Source organism: Homo sapiens, chromosome 9 (assembly GCF_000001405.40).
Source record: "Homo sapiens chromosome 9, GRCh38.p14 Primary Assembly".
Classification (NCBI taxonomy): Eukaryota; Metazoa; Chordata; class Mammalia; order Primates; family Hominidae; genus Homo; species Homo sapiens.
This window is the reverse complement of record NC_000009.12, coordinates 131,010,994-131,027,860: the sequence shown is the minus strand read 5'-3', so window position 1 is coordinate 131,027,860 and position 16,867 is coordinate 131,010,994. Positions and strand designations below refer to the sequence as shown.

General features: G+C 52.6%; 1 protein-coding gene and 1 pseudogene across 3 annotated transcripts in view, besides 5 other annotated features; one reads left to right on the top strand and one right to left on the bottom strand.

Moving 5' to 3' along the window:
• LAMC3 (laminin subunit gamma 3) overlaps window positions 1-16,867 on the bottom strand; it is an 85,300-nt gene that overhangs the window by 66,613 nt on the left and 1,820 nt on the right. For all 3 annotated transcript variants that reach the window (XM_011518121.2, NM_006059.4, XM_006716921.3), the window contains exon 2: window positions 1,272-1,576. In XM_011518121.2, coding sequence (XP_011516423.1) covers window positions 1,272-1,576 — 305 coding nt within the window. The remainder of the gene's footprint in view (window positions 1-1,271; window positions 1,577-16,867) is intronic.
• On the top strand, window positions 6,555-6,693 carry LOC124900284 (uncharacterized; annotated as a pseudogene).
• Window positions 8,628-8,815: a silencer, noted in NCBI's record as "fragment chr9:133894433-133894620 (GRCh37/hg19 assembly coordinates)". NCBI's record gives its function as "represses an EF-1alpha promoter that drives an FKBP-Casp9 reporter gene in an ReSE screen in K562 erythroleukemia cells {active_cell/tissue: K562}" and the evidence as "EXISTENCE:reporter gene assay evidence [ECO:0000049][PMID:32094911]".
• Window positions 10,659-11,230: an enhancer, noted in NCBI's record as "H3K4me1 hESC enhancer chr9:133892018-133892589 (GRCh37/hg19 assembly coordinates)". NCBI's record gives its function as "activates a minimal SCP1, AML or CMV promoter by ChIP-STARR-seq in naive H9 embryonic stem cells {active_cell/tissue: H9 hESC(naive)}" and the evidence as "EXISTENCE:reporter gene assay evidence [ECO:0000049][PMID:30033119]".
• Window positions 13,924-14,491: an enhancer, noted in NCBI's record as "H3K4me1 hESC enhancer chr9:133888757-133889324 (GRCh37/hg19 assembly coordinates)". NCBI's record gives its function as "activates a minimal SCP1, AML or CMV promoter by ChIP-STARR-seq in primed H9 embryonic stem cells {active_cell/tissue: H9 hESC(primed)}" and the evidence as "EXISTENCE:reporter gene assay evidence [ECO:0000049][PMID:30033119]".
• Window positions 14,492-15,059: an enhancer, noted in NCBI's record as "H3K4me1 hESC enhancer chr9:133888189-133888756 (GRCh37/hg19 assembly coordinates)". NCBI's record gives its function as "activates a minimal SCP1, AML or CMV promoter by ChIP-STARR-seq in naive H9 embryonic stem cells {active_cell/tissue: H9 hESC(naive)}" and the evidence as "EXISTENCE:reporter gene assay evidence [ECO:0000049][PMID:30033119]".
• Window positions 15,060-15,628: an enhancer, noted in NCBI's record as "H3K4me1 hESC enhancer chr9:133887620-133888188 (GRCh37/hg19 assembly coordinates)". NCBI's record gives its function as "activates a minimal SCP1, AML or CMV promoter by ChIP-STARR-seq in naive H9 embryonic stem cells {active_cell/tissue: H9 hESC(naive)}" and the evidence as "EXISTENCE:reporter gene assay evidence [ECO:0000049][PMID:30033119]".

The window sequence follows — 16,867 nt, the reverse complement described above, 5'->3', positions numbered from 1 at the left end:
GCCCTGAATGGACTGACATGGCGACAGGCCAGCCGTCCTCTCTACCGTGAGGACAAGGACGGGGAGCTGTCATGCGCGCGTATCTCCCGAGTGTGGGTGGGCACGCTCTACGTGCCAAGCACCGCACTGGTCACAGTGTGTGTGTTCCCGCTACCCCACAGCAGTCTCTCCAACGTGGCAGCCACTGGCCACATGTGGCTAAGTTAATAAAATAATTATTATTTTATTAAATTTATTAATATTTAATAATAAAATATTAATAATAAAATATGAAATCCAGTTCCTCAACTGCGCTGGCCACATCTCATGGTGGCTGGTGGCACCACATGGGACAATGCAGCTAGAGGCGCTTTCCGTCATCACAGAAAGTGCTGCTGGTTGGCACGGACTTACAGCGTGGGACCCAGGGCTCTATGACTCCAAAGCCCATGTTCCTGTCACATTTTGCCATTTTCATAGGAGCCCTTGGAGACACATGGGCAGGCCCTGTTACTAATTCACAGGAGGAGGAAGCGAGGCCCCTCAGCGGAGAGTTCTGGAAAGAACACCAGCCAGGAGTCTGGACACTCAGGTGCTGGCCTGGGCCCTTCCACGCCTCATTTGTGCCCCTGGAAAATGCTGTCTCCCTCCAGGCCTCAGCTTCCACACCCATATAAGGAAGGGGCCAGGTGGGTTGACAGCCCTCACAGGCTCCTGGGAGCCACAGGGCTCTGCCCCAGGAGGCCAGGGAAGGGACAGCTCTGGTCCACTGAGTAGCCCGTCTTCCTTCTGGTTCATTAGCGGCATCCACAGAAGACTTGGGTGCAACAAGCCTTCTGTGGCAGAAAGCTTGAAAACCATGGGGTTTGGGGCCAAGGGCAGTGGCTCATGCCTGTAATCCCAGCACTTTGGGAGGCCGAGGCAGGTGGATCGCTTAATGTCAGGAGTTCAAGACCAGCCTGGCCAACATGGCGAAACCCCCGTCTCTACTAAAAATACAAAAAAGAATCAGCCAGGAGTCGTGGCGGGCACCTGTAATCTCAGTTACTTGGCAGGCTGAGGCAGAATAGCTTGAACCAAGGAGGCGGAGGTTTCAGTGAACCGAAATCGCGTCACTGCACTCCAGCCTGGGCGACAGAGCAAGACTCAGTCTCCAAAAATAAAAGAAGAAAAAGAAAACCATGGGGTTTTGCAGGTCCCCCACCCTGTGTGTCCTGGCACATCAGACCCTCCTACTGCCGTGACCCAGTCCCAACCCCGTCCCAACCTCCGAAGCCCCGCTCCTCCCTGACCTGCAGCCCAGGGCTCTCCTCGAAGTTGTAGGCGCTGGGCCGGCCCTCCAGGGTGGAGAAGGCCACGTTGCCGCCACTCAGCGGGGAGATGTCGCTGAACTCAGAGGTGCAGAAGGCCACGCGCTCGTCCTCGCCGGGGCGCAGGTACTGGCCCTCGGGCCGGCCGTAGGTCTTCTGGCAGGAGGCGCTGTAGAACTGGTAGGGCTCCCATGGGCCGTCGGCGCGGCTGCGCTTGTAGATGGCAAAGCTCTCAGGGCGACTGGTGTGGAACTTCAGCCTCACATACGTGATCTCATAAGCCTTCCCTGCAGCCAGGAAAACGGGGCCCATTTTATGGAAGGGGAAGGAGGTATGGAATCCTGGTCTAGGAAGGACAGACGGCTGCATTGCAGGCACTAGCGTGGATGGATCGCTGGAAGCTGTCTGGAGCTCTGGACAGGGGAAGCCACCCTCCATTCATGATGCCTGCTGGGGCACTGGAAAGGACAATGCCCACATGCTTCCCAAGTATTTGCTGTCCCTCTTCTGGGTCAACTCGCCACCCTGCACAGGAATCTCCGTTGCAACACCCCTGAGAGGCAGCCATCTCTGTTTGCTCAAATATCTCCAGCAATGGGATGTTGCCACATTCTAAGAAAGCCTGCTCTACCGTTAGAAAGTTATTTCTTTTACTACACCCCAACGAAGCTGATCCTTGCACTGTGCCTTCGGCCTCATTCCCTTGCAATGACCACATATCTCCTAATCCTAACGAAATCCTCCCTGGACCCCTTATTGCTCCAAGTTTCTATCTTCCAAATTTCCCAAGACAGGTTTAAATCCACTGCCCCACAGCCTCATCTCCCAACTCAACCTTCAACCTCCTGCAATTCAGCTTCTCTGGGCCACTCCACAGAAGACACTGTACTTGCAAAGTTACCTCACCCACAGCCCCTGGTGGCCACAGCCAGGGGCCTCTGATCATGCTCACCTCCTCGAAAGTCCCCTCTCCCGGGGCCTCCACCTGCTCTCCTCTCCTTTGCCTGCCTTGGCCCCCTCCTGAGCCCCTCTGCTTGCTCCCTGAACCCCCAGCTTCCAGTGGCCTCTCCCTTCCCTGGGCTTTAGCCCCACTCCCCCACATGCCCCCGACACCCAGCTGGAGGATCTGCAGGCTTTAGGCACCTGCCTGCCCTGCGCTCCACCCTGGAAGCATCCTCAACAGCAGACCTGGCTCCGTCACAATGACTCAGCTACCCTGGGAGGCTGGGGTAGGGAGGATGGCTGTGGTAGAGGGAAGGGGGTTCCCAATTCCTCCTCTTCCCTCATGGGATGTCAACAGGCAATGCCTAAGAAGAGAAAAACCCTGACATGGCAGTGCAGGCACAGGGCTAGGAGATAAGGATGCATCAGGGAACAGAAATGGCTCAGAGAGCGCCGGGCGGAGAGGGAGCCTGGGGTGCGGGCGCGGGAGAACTGCCGCCTTCCACAGTTCGAGCTGGGAAGTATCTGGCTTCTACACTGAGAGCGGGTATGATTTCAATAATAAGAAGGAAGTACAGCCTGAATTTAAAAAGGCAATTTCCCCACTGCCTGAAATGCCACCATCTCTCCCCATCCTCCTATGTTTAGGACTCCATCCAGGTACCCCCTCCTCACAGAAGCCCAACTCAACCTTAAGCCCTAATGCACACCCCTGACATCCCCCCAGGACAGGAGAGGGGGCCTCCTGCAATGTGACTCCTTAGCTAGCCTCCTGCAGAGTTACCTGCTCAGCGGTGGCTCCCCACACTGGACAGAGCTCCTCACCGTCGGCACCGGGCGTCTCTTTGGTAATCTCTGCCATCCCAGTGCCTAGCAAGGTGCCTGACACCTGGCAGGCATTCACTGAGTGTTGGTGCAGGAACGAATGAATGAAGGGAAGAACGGCCCACGCAGGGAGTCCCTCCTGCATCTCTACCGTTGGCAGTAGCCTCTCACTTCCCAGAGCAGCACAGAAGATGCCCAGTCCCCTCCCCATGGCCGGCTTTCTATTCTCTGATCCTTCCTTCCCTGGTCCCAGAGACCCCCAAGAGACTGCCCACTGCCACCACCATCTTCCTTAGGTGCCGAGGACAAGCCACCCTAGTCGTCTGCTGAAACATCTTGGCTCTAGGTAAGAGCTAAAAGGCTGGGTGCGGTGGCTCATGCCTGTAATCCTAGCACTTTGGGAGGCCGAAGCGGGTGGATCACCTGAGGTCAGGAGTTCGAGACCAGCCTGACCAACATGGTGAATCCCTGTCTCTACTAAAAATAAAAAAATTAGCCAGGTGTGGTGGTGGGCGCCTGTAATCCCAGCTACTCGGGAGGCTGAGGCAGGAGAATTGCTTGAACCCAAGAGGTGGAGTTTGCAGTGAGCTGAGATGGTGCCATTGCACTCCAGCCTGGGTGACAGAGCAAGACTGTCTAAAAAAAAAAAAAAAAGCTAAAACTTCTTTCTTAGAAGAAAACAGAGGAGTAAATAATATTTGGGACTTTGCACTAGAAGAGCCTTCTTAGAAATGACACGAAAAGCACAGGTAACAAAAGAAAAAATACATAAACTGGACTTAATCAAAACCAAAACTTCTGTCCTTCAAGGAACACCACTGAGAAAATGAAAAGGCAACCCACAGAGTGGGAGAAAATAGTTGCAAATCATATATCTGATAAGAGACTTATCCAGAATATATAAAGAATTCTTACAACTCAAAAAGACAACCCAATTAAAAACTGACAAAGGAGGAGTAGATTGCTTGAGCGCAGGAGTTCACAACTAGCCAGGGCAACATGACGAAACCTCATCTCTACAAAAAATATAAAAAATGAGCTGAGCATGGTGGCCCGTGCCTCCAAGCTGCTTGGGAGGCTGAGGTGGGAGGATCCCTTGAGCCTAGGAATTAGAGGCTACAGTGAGCCATGATCACGCCACTGCACTCCAACCTGGGCAACCGAGTGAGACTCTATCTCAAAAAAGAAAAAACAAAAATGGCAAAGGTTTTGAATAGACATTTCTGCAAAGTGGATATATGAATGGCCAAGAAACACAAGAAAAAATGCTCCACATCATTGGCCAGCAGGGAAATGCAAGATAAAACCAGAATGAGATTTCCTTCACACCCTCAAGGCTGGGTAGCATGAACAGAGGTAATAACAAATGTTGGTGAGGAAGTTGGGGGATTGGAACCCTCATAGACTGCTGATGGGAATGTAAAATGGGGCGGCCACTTTGGAAAACAGCGCCTAGCAGTTCCTCAAAATGTTAGACACAGGGTTATCACAGGACCTAGCAATTCCACTCCTCAGCATATACCCAAGAGAAATGAAAACATATACATCCACGCAAAACGTACATATGGATGTTCACAGCAGCTTTCTTTGCAACAGCCAAAGAGTGGGAACAACTCCAATGCCCAGCAACTGATGAATGAATCAATAAAACGTGGCATATATCATATGATGGAATATGATTGGGCTACAAGAAGAAATGAAGTGCTGACACACGCAACCACAAGAATGAACCACGAGAACGTTAAGTGGCAGAAGCTAAAATCACCAAAGACCACATCTTATGGGATTCCACGTAAATGTCCAGAATAGGCAAATCCACAGAGACAGGAAGGAGACAGGTGGTTGTCACAGGATAGGGGTTCAGGATGGGGACTGGGGGAAAACAGAAAGTGACTGCTAATAGGTACAGGGTAATAAAGGTGTTCCAAGCCGGGCTTAGTGGCTCACACCTGTCATCCCAGCACTTTGGGAGGCTGAGGCTGGAGGATCGCTTGAGCCCAGGAGTTTGAGACCAGCCTGGGTAACATAGCAAGATCCTCTCTCTACAAAAAATAAATAAATAAATAAGAACAAATTAAAAAATTAGCTGGGCGTGGTGGCTTGCATATCCCAGCTACCTGAGAGGCTGAGGTGGGAGGATGGCTTGAGCTCAGGAGGTAGAGGCCACAGTGAGCTGTGATCGTGCCACTGCACTCCAGCCTGTGCAACAGAGTGAGACCCTGTCTCAAAATAAATAAATAAATAAATAAATATATTCTAAAATTGATTGTGGTGATGGCTGCACAACTGTGTGTATATACTAAAAACCACTGGATTGTATAGTTTAAATGGGTAAATTATACGGTATGTGAATTGTATCTCCTAAAGCTGTTATATATACTATGTATGTTATTGTGGTGTTATGATAGCTGTCAGTTTTCGGGCTGGCCGTGGTGGCTCACACCTGTAATCCTAGCACTTTGGGAGGCCAAGGTGGGAGGATCACTTGAGCCTAGGGGTTTGAGACCAGCCTGGGCAACATAGTGAGACCATGTCTCTCTATTAAAAAAATACATATATATGTGTGTGTGTGTGTGTGTGTGTGTGTGTTTTCATCCACAGCTCCTGGCTTATGACTCCCATAGCCCTCCTTACGGTCTTTCATTAGAATTTTGGGTGTGTTGGGCCTCAGGGGCAGGCCTCTGCCTTCTCCTGCCCTCCTTTCACTCTAAAGTTCCCCCACCTTTCTGACCGTGGGTCTTAAGACCCTCCAAGAGAGGGTCCCACCCTACGCCCAAGGGAAGCAATGCTGATGCATGAAGCGTCCATGAAAACCTGAGGACAGGGTTCAGGGAGCTTCTGGATGGCTGAACACGGGGAGGTTCCTGGAGGGTGGCACCCAGGGAGGGCATGGAAGCTCCCGTCCCTTCACCGTTCCTCACCCTGCTCATCTCTTCATCTGTGTCCTTTGCAATATTCTTTATAATAAACCAGTCAATGTGTTACCCTGAGTTCTGTGAGCTGCTCCAGTGAATTGATTGAACCCAAAGAAGGGGTCATGGGAACTTGAAGCTAATCTGTCAGAAGTTCGTGAGGCCTAGACTTGTGACTGGTGTGTGTGGCGGAAGACAGCCTTGGGGACTGAGCCCTCAACCTGTGGGACCGGATGCTATCTCTGACTAGATCGTGTTGGAACTGAATTAGAGGACACCCAGCTGGTACCGCTGCTTGTTGGGTGGGGGAAAAACCCACGCATTTGGTCACAGAAGTCTTCTGTGTTGATGATGGCTGTCGTCTGAGAGCAGAGGAAAAACACAGTTTGAGGAGTTTTTCCCTACACAGTTATATATATGTATTATTGGACCTCACATCCATTAGGATGGCTATTATCAAAAAAACAGAAGATAACAAGTGTTGGCAAGGATATGGAGAAACTGGAACCCTCATGCACTGTGGGTGGGAATGTGAAATGGTGCATACGCTATGGGAAACTGGTGGTTCCCGAAAAAACTAAAAACAATGCATCTATTTGACAGCCCCAGAGCAGTTACTGTCTGCTAAGGTTTCCACTACAGATGCAAAAACAGCGTCCCTGTGCTTTCTCTCTGACTGCTTTCTGCTTTCTGTGGCAGCCGAGATTGAATAGAGGAATCCAGGAAAAACTACGGAGAGAGAATTTTTGCAACTCAAGAATAACCTTGTAAGCAGTGAAGAGCCTGTGTTACTCCAAGCAAGAACCTACAATTTGAGTTTACACGAGAAGTGTTGGGAAATATCCCCTACCATCCTCAGCTGGTTGATTACGCTTACAAAAGCTTAAAGGTTAAAACTAATTAAAAGAAGCCAGAGACTCTGGGGAGAAAAAAAAACATCAAAAAACCTAAGAATAGAATTGCCATATGATCCAGCACTTCCACTTCTGGGGATATACCCAAAAGAACCGAAAGCCAGACTCCACGTTTGTGTTACATGTATTTGGGGGGGAAAAATAAAGGCACCCTCCTTCCTCCCCTAGTCTCTCTATGCACCAAAACAAGAAGCTGGTGAATCACCTCCTTCTCGCAAGTGACCTCAGTATTCACCAGATCACTAGCTCATTCTCTGGAATTCCTTGTGTTAGCCCTCCTCTCTGTCATTCTCTCAGCCCCTCGTCTGTTCCCTGACTTATGCAATGGTCTGGAATGCCCTGCCACCTCTCTTTGCAAACATGCAGTCATGTCTCAGTCATGTTTTGGCTCAGACTGTACCTCAGAATCCTTCTTAACACAAAGCCCTAGGCAACACTCAATCCAAGGAAAACTGTTTGGTCTCCCCAGGTTAGAGGAGAACTTGGCAATCTTTTTGTTTTTTTAGACTTGGCAATCTTGATTCATATTTGGGGCTTAGACTTAGTGCCAAGATGGGAGGGCTGTGATGGAGCCTATCCCTGGTTCAGCCAGGGTCTTGTGGTATCTGGCATTATGGCCATGGGGAGTCCCCAGCTCCTTATAGGGAGTCACCACACCCAGAAGTGCCAAGAGCTTGGCTGGGAGAGGAAGAACAAGAACAGTGGGTGGCCAGATGGGGCTAAGGGACCCTGCTGGGTGTGACTCCCCTGTAGGCTGGGAGCAGCTCACCCACCTGGTTCTGATGCTCGAGGTGGGCAGGGCAGCCTCACCCATGCATTCCCAGCCCAGCTTTCCACCCTAGCCCCTCCCGCCCCACTCCCTAGGCCACTGCTGCCCAGATGGCTCCAATTATAGGGCTTTGTTTTGTTTCCATTTTCCCAAAATAAGCCTCTTCGTACTGAGCTCATTCTGCTTGGTCAGTGCCGGATGTGGGCCAGCTTGATTTTATGACTGTCCCGGTGTCATTCTTGATGGGCTTTATGTTCCAGCTGGCTGGAGAGGACACAGCTTGGCGCTCCTGCTGTTTGGCGTGGGCGGTGCGGGGCCCGGCCGGGGGAGGCTCTGCTGTGCCCAGCTGCTGGCTCAGCCAGCAGGTGAAGACTGGGAGGGGGGCGGGTGGGACCTCCATGTCTCCATGGGCACCAGCACCCCCTTCACCCCCTTCCTAGGCAGCCCCTTCTCTCTGGGGCTCCATGGACTCCTGAGTAGGAGGGCACCCAGGTTTTGAGCAGTGACTTTGGGCATGACACTGAGGAAGTCCTTCTGCTCCCTGAGCCTGACTCCTCACTAGTAAATGAAGTGTTTGGGGATCTCAGCCATACAGTGTGAGTAAAGTACTTGGCAAAGCACGTGGCACATAGCAGGTGCTCACTAAATGCTGGCTAGTGTGAAACAGAGACTCATCCAGGGATCATGACTTCCAGGCACACTTGGGACAATGTGATCCACACTGTCAGGACTGCCTGCTGTCTCCACTCTCTCACTGGATTATAAACTCCTTGAAGGTACAAATCCTGCCTCGAGTCTACTCATTCATCGGGCAAGCATTTATTGGGCACCTCTTGTGTGCTAGGTGCCATGCTCAGCTATAAGGATTCATGGCACCTGCCCCAAGGGGAGGTTACAGGTAGGGAGAGAGAGGCAGGTCTTGTTTTTGTTTGTTTGTTTGTTTGTTTTGAGACAAAGTCTCACTCTGTTGCCTAGGCTGGAGTGCAGTGGCGTGATCTTGGCTCACTTCAACCTCCGTCCCCTGGATTCAAGCCATTCTCCTGCCTCAGCCTCCTGAGTAGCAGGGATTACAAGCGTGCACCACCAAGCCTGGCTAATTTTTGTATTTCTGTAGAGATGGGATTTCACCATGTAGGCCAGGCTAGTCTCAAACTCCTGACCTCAAGTGATTTGCCTGCCTCGGCCTCCCAAAGTGCTGGGATTAGAGGCGTGAGCCACCGTGCCCAGATGAGACAGGCAGGTCTTTATAGAACAGGACAAAGTAGCCCAGGGAGGCTGTGGGAGCATCAACAAGGCGCTCAAACCTATGGTTCCAAGGATGAGCAGCCATTAGCCAGGGAAGGTGAGGAGAAGGTGCATTCCACACCAGGCAGGATGTTGGCAAAGCTGTGGCCACCTTGTGGTGAAGCCTGTAGTTCAGGCTGGCAGGAGCATGGAGAGGGAGGAGGTGGTGAGAAGTAAGTTTGGGGCATGTGGTCCAGTAAGCGGGTGGGATGAGCAGGGGTGCATGGGAGCTAGACAGGCGAGGAGAGCAGAGGGAACAGAATTCTAGACAGAGAGAACAGCATATTGGGCGGCCTGGAGGTGAGGGAAGCCAAGTACTCCCAAGCAGTGTCACCACCAGCTAACAGTCAAGGATGACATCTTGGCTCGGCTTTCCTGATAGGAACACAGCTGTCTCAATCACCCAGAAGCCTCATTGGCCCCTGGAGCTTGTGAGGGTCTGGGCTAGGGCTGCAGATTTTAATTCTCGTCGCTGTTTAAAAGATCTTGGGGGCCGGGCGCAGTGGCTCACACCTGTAATCCCAGCACTTTGGGAGGCCGAGGCAGGGGGATCACCTGAGCTCAGGAGTTCGAGACCACCCTGGGCAACATGGTGAAACCTCGTTTCTACTAAAATACAAAAAATTAGCCGGGCATGGTGGCATGCACCTGTAATCCCAGCTACACGGGAGGCTGAGGCATGAGAATCGCTCGAACGTAGGAGGCAGAGGTTGCAGTGAGCCGAGATCATGCCACTTCACTCCAGCTTGGGCTAGAGTGAGACTCCAACTCAAGAAAAAAAAAAAAAAAGATCTTGGGGCCACTCCTTTCCCAACCTTTTTGTTGCCTTTGGAAGAAACTTTTTCATCACAAAGGAGGGATTAAGCTGCTTTCTTTTATTTATGTATTTATTTATTTTTTGAGATGGAGTCTTGCTCTGTCGCCCAGGCTGGAGTGCAGTGGTGCGATCTCGGTTCACTGCAGCCTCTGCCTCCCGGGTTCCAGTGGTTCTCCTGCCTCAGACTCCTGGGTAGCTGGGATTACAGGCACACGCCACCACACCTGGCTAATTTTTGTATTTTTAGTAGAGACGGGGTTTTGCCATGTTGGCCAGGCTGGTCTCGAACTCTTGACCGAAGGTGATCCGCCCGCCTCAGCCTCCCAAAGTGCTGGGATTACAGGTGTGAACTACTGCACCTGGCCTTTTTTTTTTTTTTTTTTTTTTTTGAGACAGTCTTGCTGTCATCCAGGCTGCAGTGCAATGGCCCGATCTCGGCTCACTGCAACCTCTGCCTCCGGTTCAAGCGATTCTCCTGCCTCAGCCTCCCAAGTAGCTGGGATTACAGGCGCCCAACACAACGCTTGGTTAATTTTTTTTTTTTTTAATAGAGAAAGGGTTTCACCATGTTGGCTAGGCTGGTCTCGAACTCATGACCTCAAGTGATCCGCCGGCCTCGGCCTCCCAAAGTGCTGGGATTACAGGCGTAAGGACCGCACCCGGCCTCTAATTAACTCTTGTAACAAAAAGTCCCTGCCATGTCTCTGTGATATTGCTGCATCTTCTCTCACCTCCTGGTTTGGCAAGGACAGAAAAGCCGGGATGTTTCCTATCGCGTGAGGCCGCTCGTTTGCATGAACTCCCAGTGACTGCCTTTTTCCGATCACGCTTCTAGCTGCCAGCTACCTTTCAAGTGGCTCCAAGCTCCCCTCCCGAGAGGTGTCTGGCTGCTAGATGTTTACCAAGGAGTCTGCGCCGGTGACCCGCAGCAGCCCGCGCACAGCATCCTTTAGCGAATACACATCTGGGCCAGCCCCCCACCTCGTTCCAAGGCCCGAAGCCTCTGCTCCAAACAGGCGCAGACACCAGGCCGCCCCCAGATCCGGACCCTGTTTGCTCCGCACGCTTTCTTTTAAGGGGTTGGGAGTTACGGTGCCAAGCTGTGCTGCACCAGAACTTTGAAAAACATCTTAAAACAGAACATAGCAAGGCGGGTGCTTTTTAAAAAAAAAATCGTAGAAATGTGTTTTCTCCAGTTTTTAAATTAGAACAAGCTTCATGAGAGAATACTGGGAAAATGTAGAAACACGGAAAATGGAAGAAAAGTCACTGCAAGTCCTGAGGACAAACACGCTTACCAGTTTGATGTCTTTCTTTTTTTGCCTACTCTTTAGGGATTTTAAAATATAAATCTGATGATTCCACATATACCAACTTGTGTCTTTTTCTTCATTCAACATTTTGACTTAAGCGCTCCCTGTGTATTACAAACCCTTTGTCAGCTGTTGCACTGAATGGCTCCAATCACCATGAGAATTTATGTCCTACAATTTACTTAACTAGTCCCTTATGGTTCCCATTTTTCCCTACTATAAAGAACGCCTCGATGAATGTTTTCATGCATTAGGACCCTTCCCTTATTTGAATTCCCAGAAGTAGGATTCCTTTGCCAAAGGCCAGGAATATTCTTGTGGGTCTTCAACCATGTTGCCAAGCTGCCTTCCCACGGGGCTGACATGTACTTTTCCCCAAACCTTCTTTTATTGTGGTGAAATATGTATAACATGACATTTACCATCTTACCCATTTGCACAGCTCACATTGTTGTGCAACCTTCACCACCATCCATCTCCAGAACTCTTTCATCTTCCCAAACTGAAACTCTGTCCCCATGAAACAGTCACTCTCCATTGCCCCTCCCCCAGCCCCTGGCAACCAGCATTCTACCTTCTGTCTCTGTGGACTTGACTATCCCAGGGTGCCTCTCATATCAGCGGAACCCTACAGTATTTGTTCTTTTTTGGCTGGCTTCTTTCCCTTAGCATAATGTCCTCAGGGTTCGTCTATACTGTGGCTGTGTGAGAATCTCCTTTTTCAGGGCTGAGTAATATTCTACTGGATGGATGGACCACATTTGCTCTTGCTCATCATTCACCCCTCGGTGGACACTTAGGCTGCCTTGCCTTTGGCTATTGTGGAAATGCTGTTATGGGTCAGGTGCCGTGGCTCACGCCTGTATTCCCAGCACTTTGGGAGACAGAGGAGGGCAGATCACCTGAGGTCAGGAGTTCGAGACCAGTCTGGCCAACATGGTGAAACCCCGTAACTACAAAAAAATACAAAAAATTAGCTGGGTGTGGTGGCAGGAACCTGTAATCTCAGCTACTTGGGAGGCTGAAGCAGGAGAATCGCTTGAACCTGGGAGGTGGAGGTTGCAGTGAGCTGAGATCGCACCATTGCACTCCAGCCTGGGCGGTGGAGCGAGTCTCCGTCTCAAAAAAATAAAAAAGAAAAGAAAATGCTGCTATGCACACAGGGGCCCTTGCATAGCCTTTGCACACGGGGGCCCTTGCATGACATTCAGAGTGGTTGGTGTCAAGGCGGCTGCTCAAATTACCCAGTCGAGGGCTCAGGTGGAGACCGAGTCAGGGCGAGGGGTGCAGGTGGAGTCCTGGATGTCGACTATGATTCAAATAAGCAAAGCCAGGGCATGAGCTGGGGAAGGGCATGGCTGCTGGGAGGGCTTGCCCGGGGACAAGGGGCCACAGGGAAGGGAGGTAGACCAAGCAGCTGAAGCCTGGGCAAGGGAGAGCAGGGCAGGGCAGGGTTGGGCTGGGAGGACGGCGGCACTGCTGTGAACACCGTGGCTTAGGAGTACGGGAGGCACCTGCAAGGCTGGGGGCCCTTCATCCATGAATTCCTCACTCCCTTGCTCTGAGCGAGGAAACACAGTGCAATCTTGCAACCCTGGGGTTCACAGCCCAGCCCCACCAATTCCTGGCTCTGTGGCCTTGGGCAAAATAGCTGAACTCCCTCGGGTTCACTGGGCAAGTGACTGTGCAATGTAGTGCCTTGGTTTCCCCATTTGCAAAATAGGCATAACAATAACAGGGCTAAATGAGCAAATGCCTTGGAAGCACTTGGAACAGTCCCAGGCACGAAGCATTTGTTCAACTACATTTTTCTTTTTTCTGAGACAGGGTCTCGCTCTGTTGCCCAGGCTGGAGTGCAGTGGTGTGATCACTACAGCCTCGAACTCCCAGGCTCCAGCGATCCTCCCACCTCAGCCTTCCAAGTAGCTGGGACTACAGGCACTTGCCCCCGCGCCCGGCTAATTTTTTCATTTCTATTTTTATTTTTGTAAAGACAGGGTCTCACTTTGTTGTCCAGGCTGACCCTGAACTTCTGGTTCAAGTGATCTTCCCGTCTCTGCCTCCCAAAGTGCTGGGGTTACAGGTGTGAGCCTCACCCAGCCTCAATGAAATTTGAGCTGCTCTTCCATTCATTCGCCTGACCAACCTTTACCCAGCACCCTGTGCAGTGGGCAAATGCAGGCTGGGCACTACTGGGGCACAGGTGTGAAAACAGGCATTCCCTCTGGCAGCCCAGAGATAGGGATGGACGTAAACAGACCAAGCCCTCACGCAGTGTAATCCAGACTCTGGTGGAAGGAGGATTAGGGGCTGCAAGGATGCGTGGGCAGGCCTTCTGCCCAACCTTAGAGGGGTGAGGGGTTTTCCAGAGGAGGCACCTCTAAGCTGAGTGGGGCAGACAGACATCCCCAGGGCTCAGCACAGGGATCGGCAGACATGCAATGGTTTTGTGGATGAACAAGACATGAGTTAGGCTGAAGGTGGGAGGAGAAGTGCGCTGGGCCGAAGCCACAGCACATGTAAGGCGCTGGAGGAGAGAGAGTGCCTCGGCCCAGCCAAGGCCTTGCTGAAGGGCAGTGTGGGAAGTGGACAGGGATGATGCAGAGGCCATGGGAGGCTGGCTACACCCATCCTGGGCTTTGCCACTTCCTAGCCCTGCATCTCCTGGATTAGTCCTGGGAGGCCCAGAGAGAAAGAGGTGGCCAAGGCCAGCTGGGCCCAGGGGCCTGGAGGGCAGTTCTGTGGGTGGATGGAGGCTAACCAGCCGCTGCCTTGACCTCCTGCCCTGCTCAGGGCCCAGCGTTCCAGCCAGAACCCCCAGGGAGCAGGAGGGAGGACTTGGCCCCCAGCACTGGCCCAGGCCAAGGCAATCGCAGCCGCCCACTCGACAGGAAGACAGAACGGAGCCAAGGCTCAGGAGACCCAGCTGGCTCCAGGACCCCTCAGGGGCCACAGGGTCCCCCTAATGTCCAGCACCCTGGGACCCGGCTCCTCGCTGTGGCTGGCCAGACCCCAGCGTCTTCTCGGTGTCTGCACTCAGGCCATCCAGGCCCGGCAGGTCGAAGAACATCCTTCCCTCTTTGGTCAGCTCCTACCATCCTTCAGGTCTCAGCGAGACCCTTCCTGACCCTAGAGATGAGGCTCGTGCGCACCAGTGCATGTTCTGAGCATACATCCTCGTTCTCAGCACTGCTCAGTAAAGGCTGCCTTCTGGTGGGCCCTGAGCCCCTCAGGACAGGGGCCGCACATGGCCCTGTTCACAGCTGCATCCTGTGGCCAGTGAGCCAAGGCTGGGTGACCACCAAGCAAACGGCTAAATGAAAGCAAGAAGAAGTCAACTCCATGCAGGGACATCCGGGACCTGCGGGGGAGGGAGGGCAGAACTCATCTGCTTGGGGGACTCAGGTCTTTTTGTGGTTCCAGGAGATTCTCAGCGATCCAAGTGCAAGCCGGGAGGAGACTCCCCCAGCCCACCGAAAGCCACAGCCCATACTGTTCCTCCCAGGACCGAGGCTTCAAGCATGTGGACCAGCCTAGCCTGGACCCTCTTCATTCCCAAGTACAGCAGTTAGGGGGAGGGTCCCGGGGGCCACCATTTATTGAGTTGTGCGACCCCAAGCAACTGATCTCACCCTCAGTGCCTCAGTTTTGCTGTCTGTAAAAGAACAAAGCATGCCGGTTTGGGATGCCGCCTGGGCGAGTCCTTGGTACACGGTGAGAGCCCCGGAATGGTCTGTACCCCCGTCACTGTCCACTCCCCCAACACCCCACTGACTCCCAGGCCCCAGCCCCGTGGCCTCCCTGGGCCTTGGTGGTGGGCTGGGGCTGCCAGAGCCCACTGCTGCCTTTCATCCCAGACAGGAAGGCTCAGCTCAGAGATGACGGGAGGATCCGGAACAGATGTCCAGGAGCCACGGGGGGCTGGGAATGCGGCGACCTCCATCTCCTTCCCTGCCCCTCACCCCATTCCCTCTAGGAGACCCCGGGCCAGAGCTGGCCGCCCACTCTCCCTTCCCATGAGCCTTCAAGGAGAGGGAGCAGTGGGGGGACAGAGCCAGCAGAGGTGGCCTAAGGACCAGGAGGAGAGGTCATCAGACGGCCTCCACAGGGGACACCGACAATCCCAGGCCTCTCCTTCCCCCGCTATTATGCAAGCCATGGCTTAGCCTGGAGCAAACCTAAGTCATAGGAAACCAAAAAGAGGCCAAATCTGGGGCTGCGCTGGGCCCCCGGCGCCCCTTGTGCGTAAACAGAGACCAGCGTCAGGATGTCTTTGAGGAGGCAGGGCGGCCGGGACGAGCATTTCTCAATCCCCGCAAGGGAGCCTCAGCCCTGAGCTGTCTCAGCAGCCACGCTGGTCACACACAGGGACTGCCATGGCTCCGACCCGGGCTCATGAACCCGAACAGCTGCTCAGGAAGTGGCGACTCTTATCCGTACGGTACAGGTAAGGAAACTGAGGCTGAGAGAGGGGACTCCGCTTGCCCAGTGAGTGGCTCTGCTGGGCCTAAGTCCAAAGCCTCCTTTCGTGATTTCTATCCTATTCTGCCTCCCAGAGCAGGCAAAAGAGAATGCTGAGCTGGCCCCAGAGCACAGGACAGAGGAGGTGACCCTGTCACTCACACTTGTGGACTCTCTCCTATATGCCTGGTTTTCGGCGACAAAACAGGAAGAATGCTCACCGGGATAAGACACAGCAGGGAGTGTGTGTGTGTGTGTGTGTGTGTGTGTGTATGTGTGTGTGTGTTCGCTCTCTACATTCACAGTGTGGAGGCTCTCAGGTTCCTTGCTTTTAGAAGGATCAGAACCACTCTGCTTCTAAGGTTCTAGGCAGAGTTCCACGAGGGTGCACAGCTCAGCACAGGGCCTGGCACACAGTAGATGCACAGTAAACAGGAACTACCTCAAATCCAAAAACTTGGCCATTTCTCCCAACTTCCTCCCACCTTGTTTGTGCCTGGGCTGAGCTCTTTCCTTGGCCCCTGGGTTCCCAGGACACATGTGATACCCTTTGTCATGGAGCACTGTGTCTCCCCAACAACTCCCCACCCTGTCCCAGATTCCTTCCCCTGTGGCCTTGGGGTCCTGCCAGCTCCATCCAGACAGCTCCCCCAGCCTCCCCCCTCCCCACTGGCTTCCTGTCCCCTCCCCCTCGTCCCATTCAGAAGCCCCACCTAGTGATCCAGATAGGCTGAGAGAAGGTGACGTGGCCCCAGAAGAAGGGAGTTTCTGAGGTGGCAGCCAGTACCTGTGTGCTCTGCAGAGCGGGCTCACGGTCCTCCCCGCACCCCACTCCAATGTCACTTCCCAGCCCTCCCCAGGACACTGTCACCAGGCTGAGGTGGAGCTGACTCAGTTGATGGGTGGCGGAACTCACATCAAAGAGTTTATGCTCTGACCTCTGATGTCCATGGATGTCCACGCTCAGATGCTCACTTAGCAGCTCTGTGCCTTTGGGCAAAACAACCTCTCTGAGCCTCAATTTTCTCAGCTGAAACATGGGATACAGTCCCATCATCCCTAATCCAAACTCCTAGGCTCCAAATGTGTTTGGGAATTGAACATTTTTCAGCTTTTAGAAAGACGATGCAGGCCTTATACCATATATTGTGCTAATACCCCCAGTGGGGTCTGGGGCTGCCGGCTGTACTCAAATGAGATTTCAGTAGCAAAGCGAATGAATATTCATTCTCACTAGCATAAACATAGCTTATAAATAGCCTCAGGTCAGGTTTAGCAGCAAAAATGAGTTATAAAAATAATTTGAGTTTTCAAAGCTTTGGGAGGCTGACCTCGAAGATA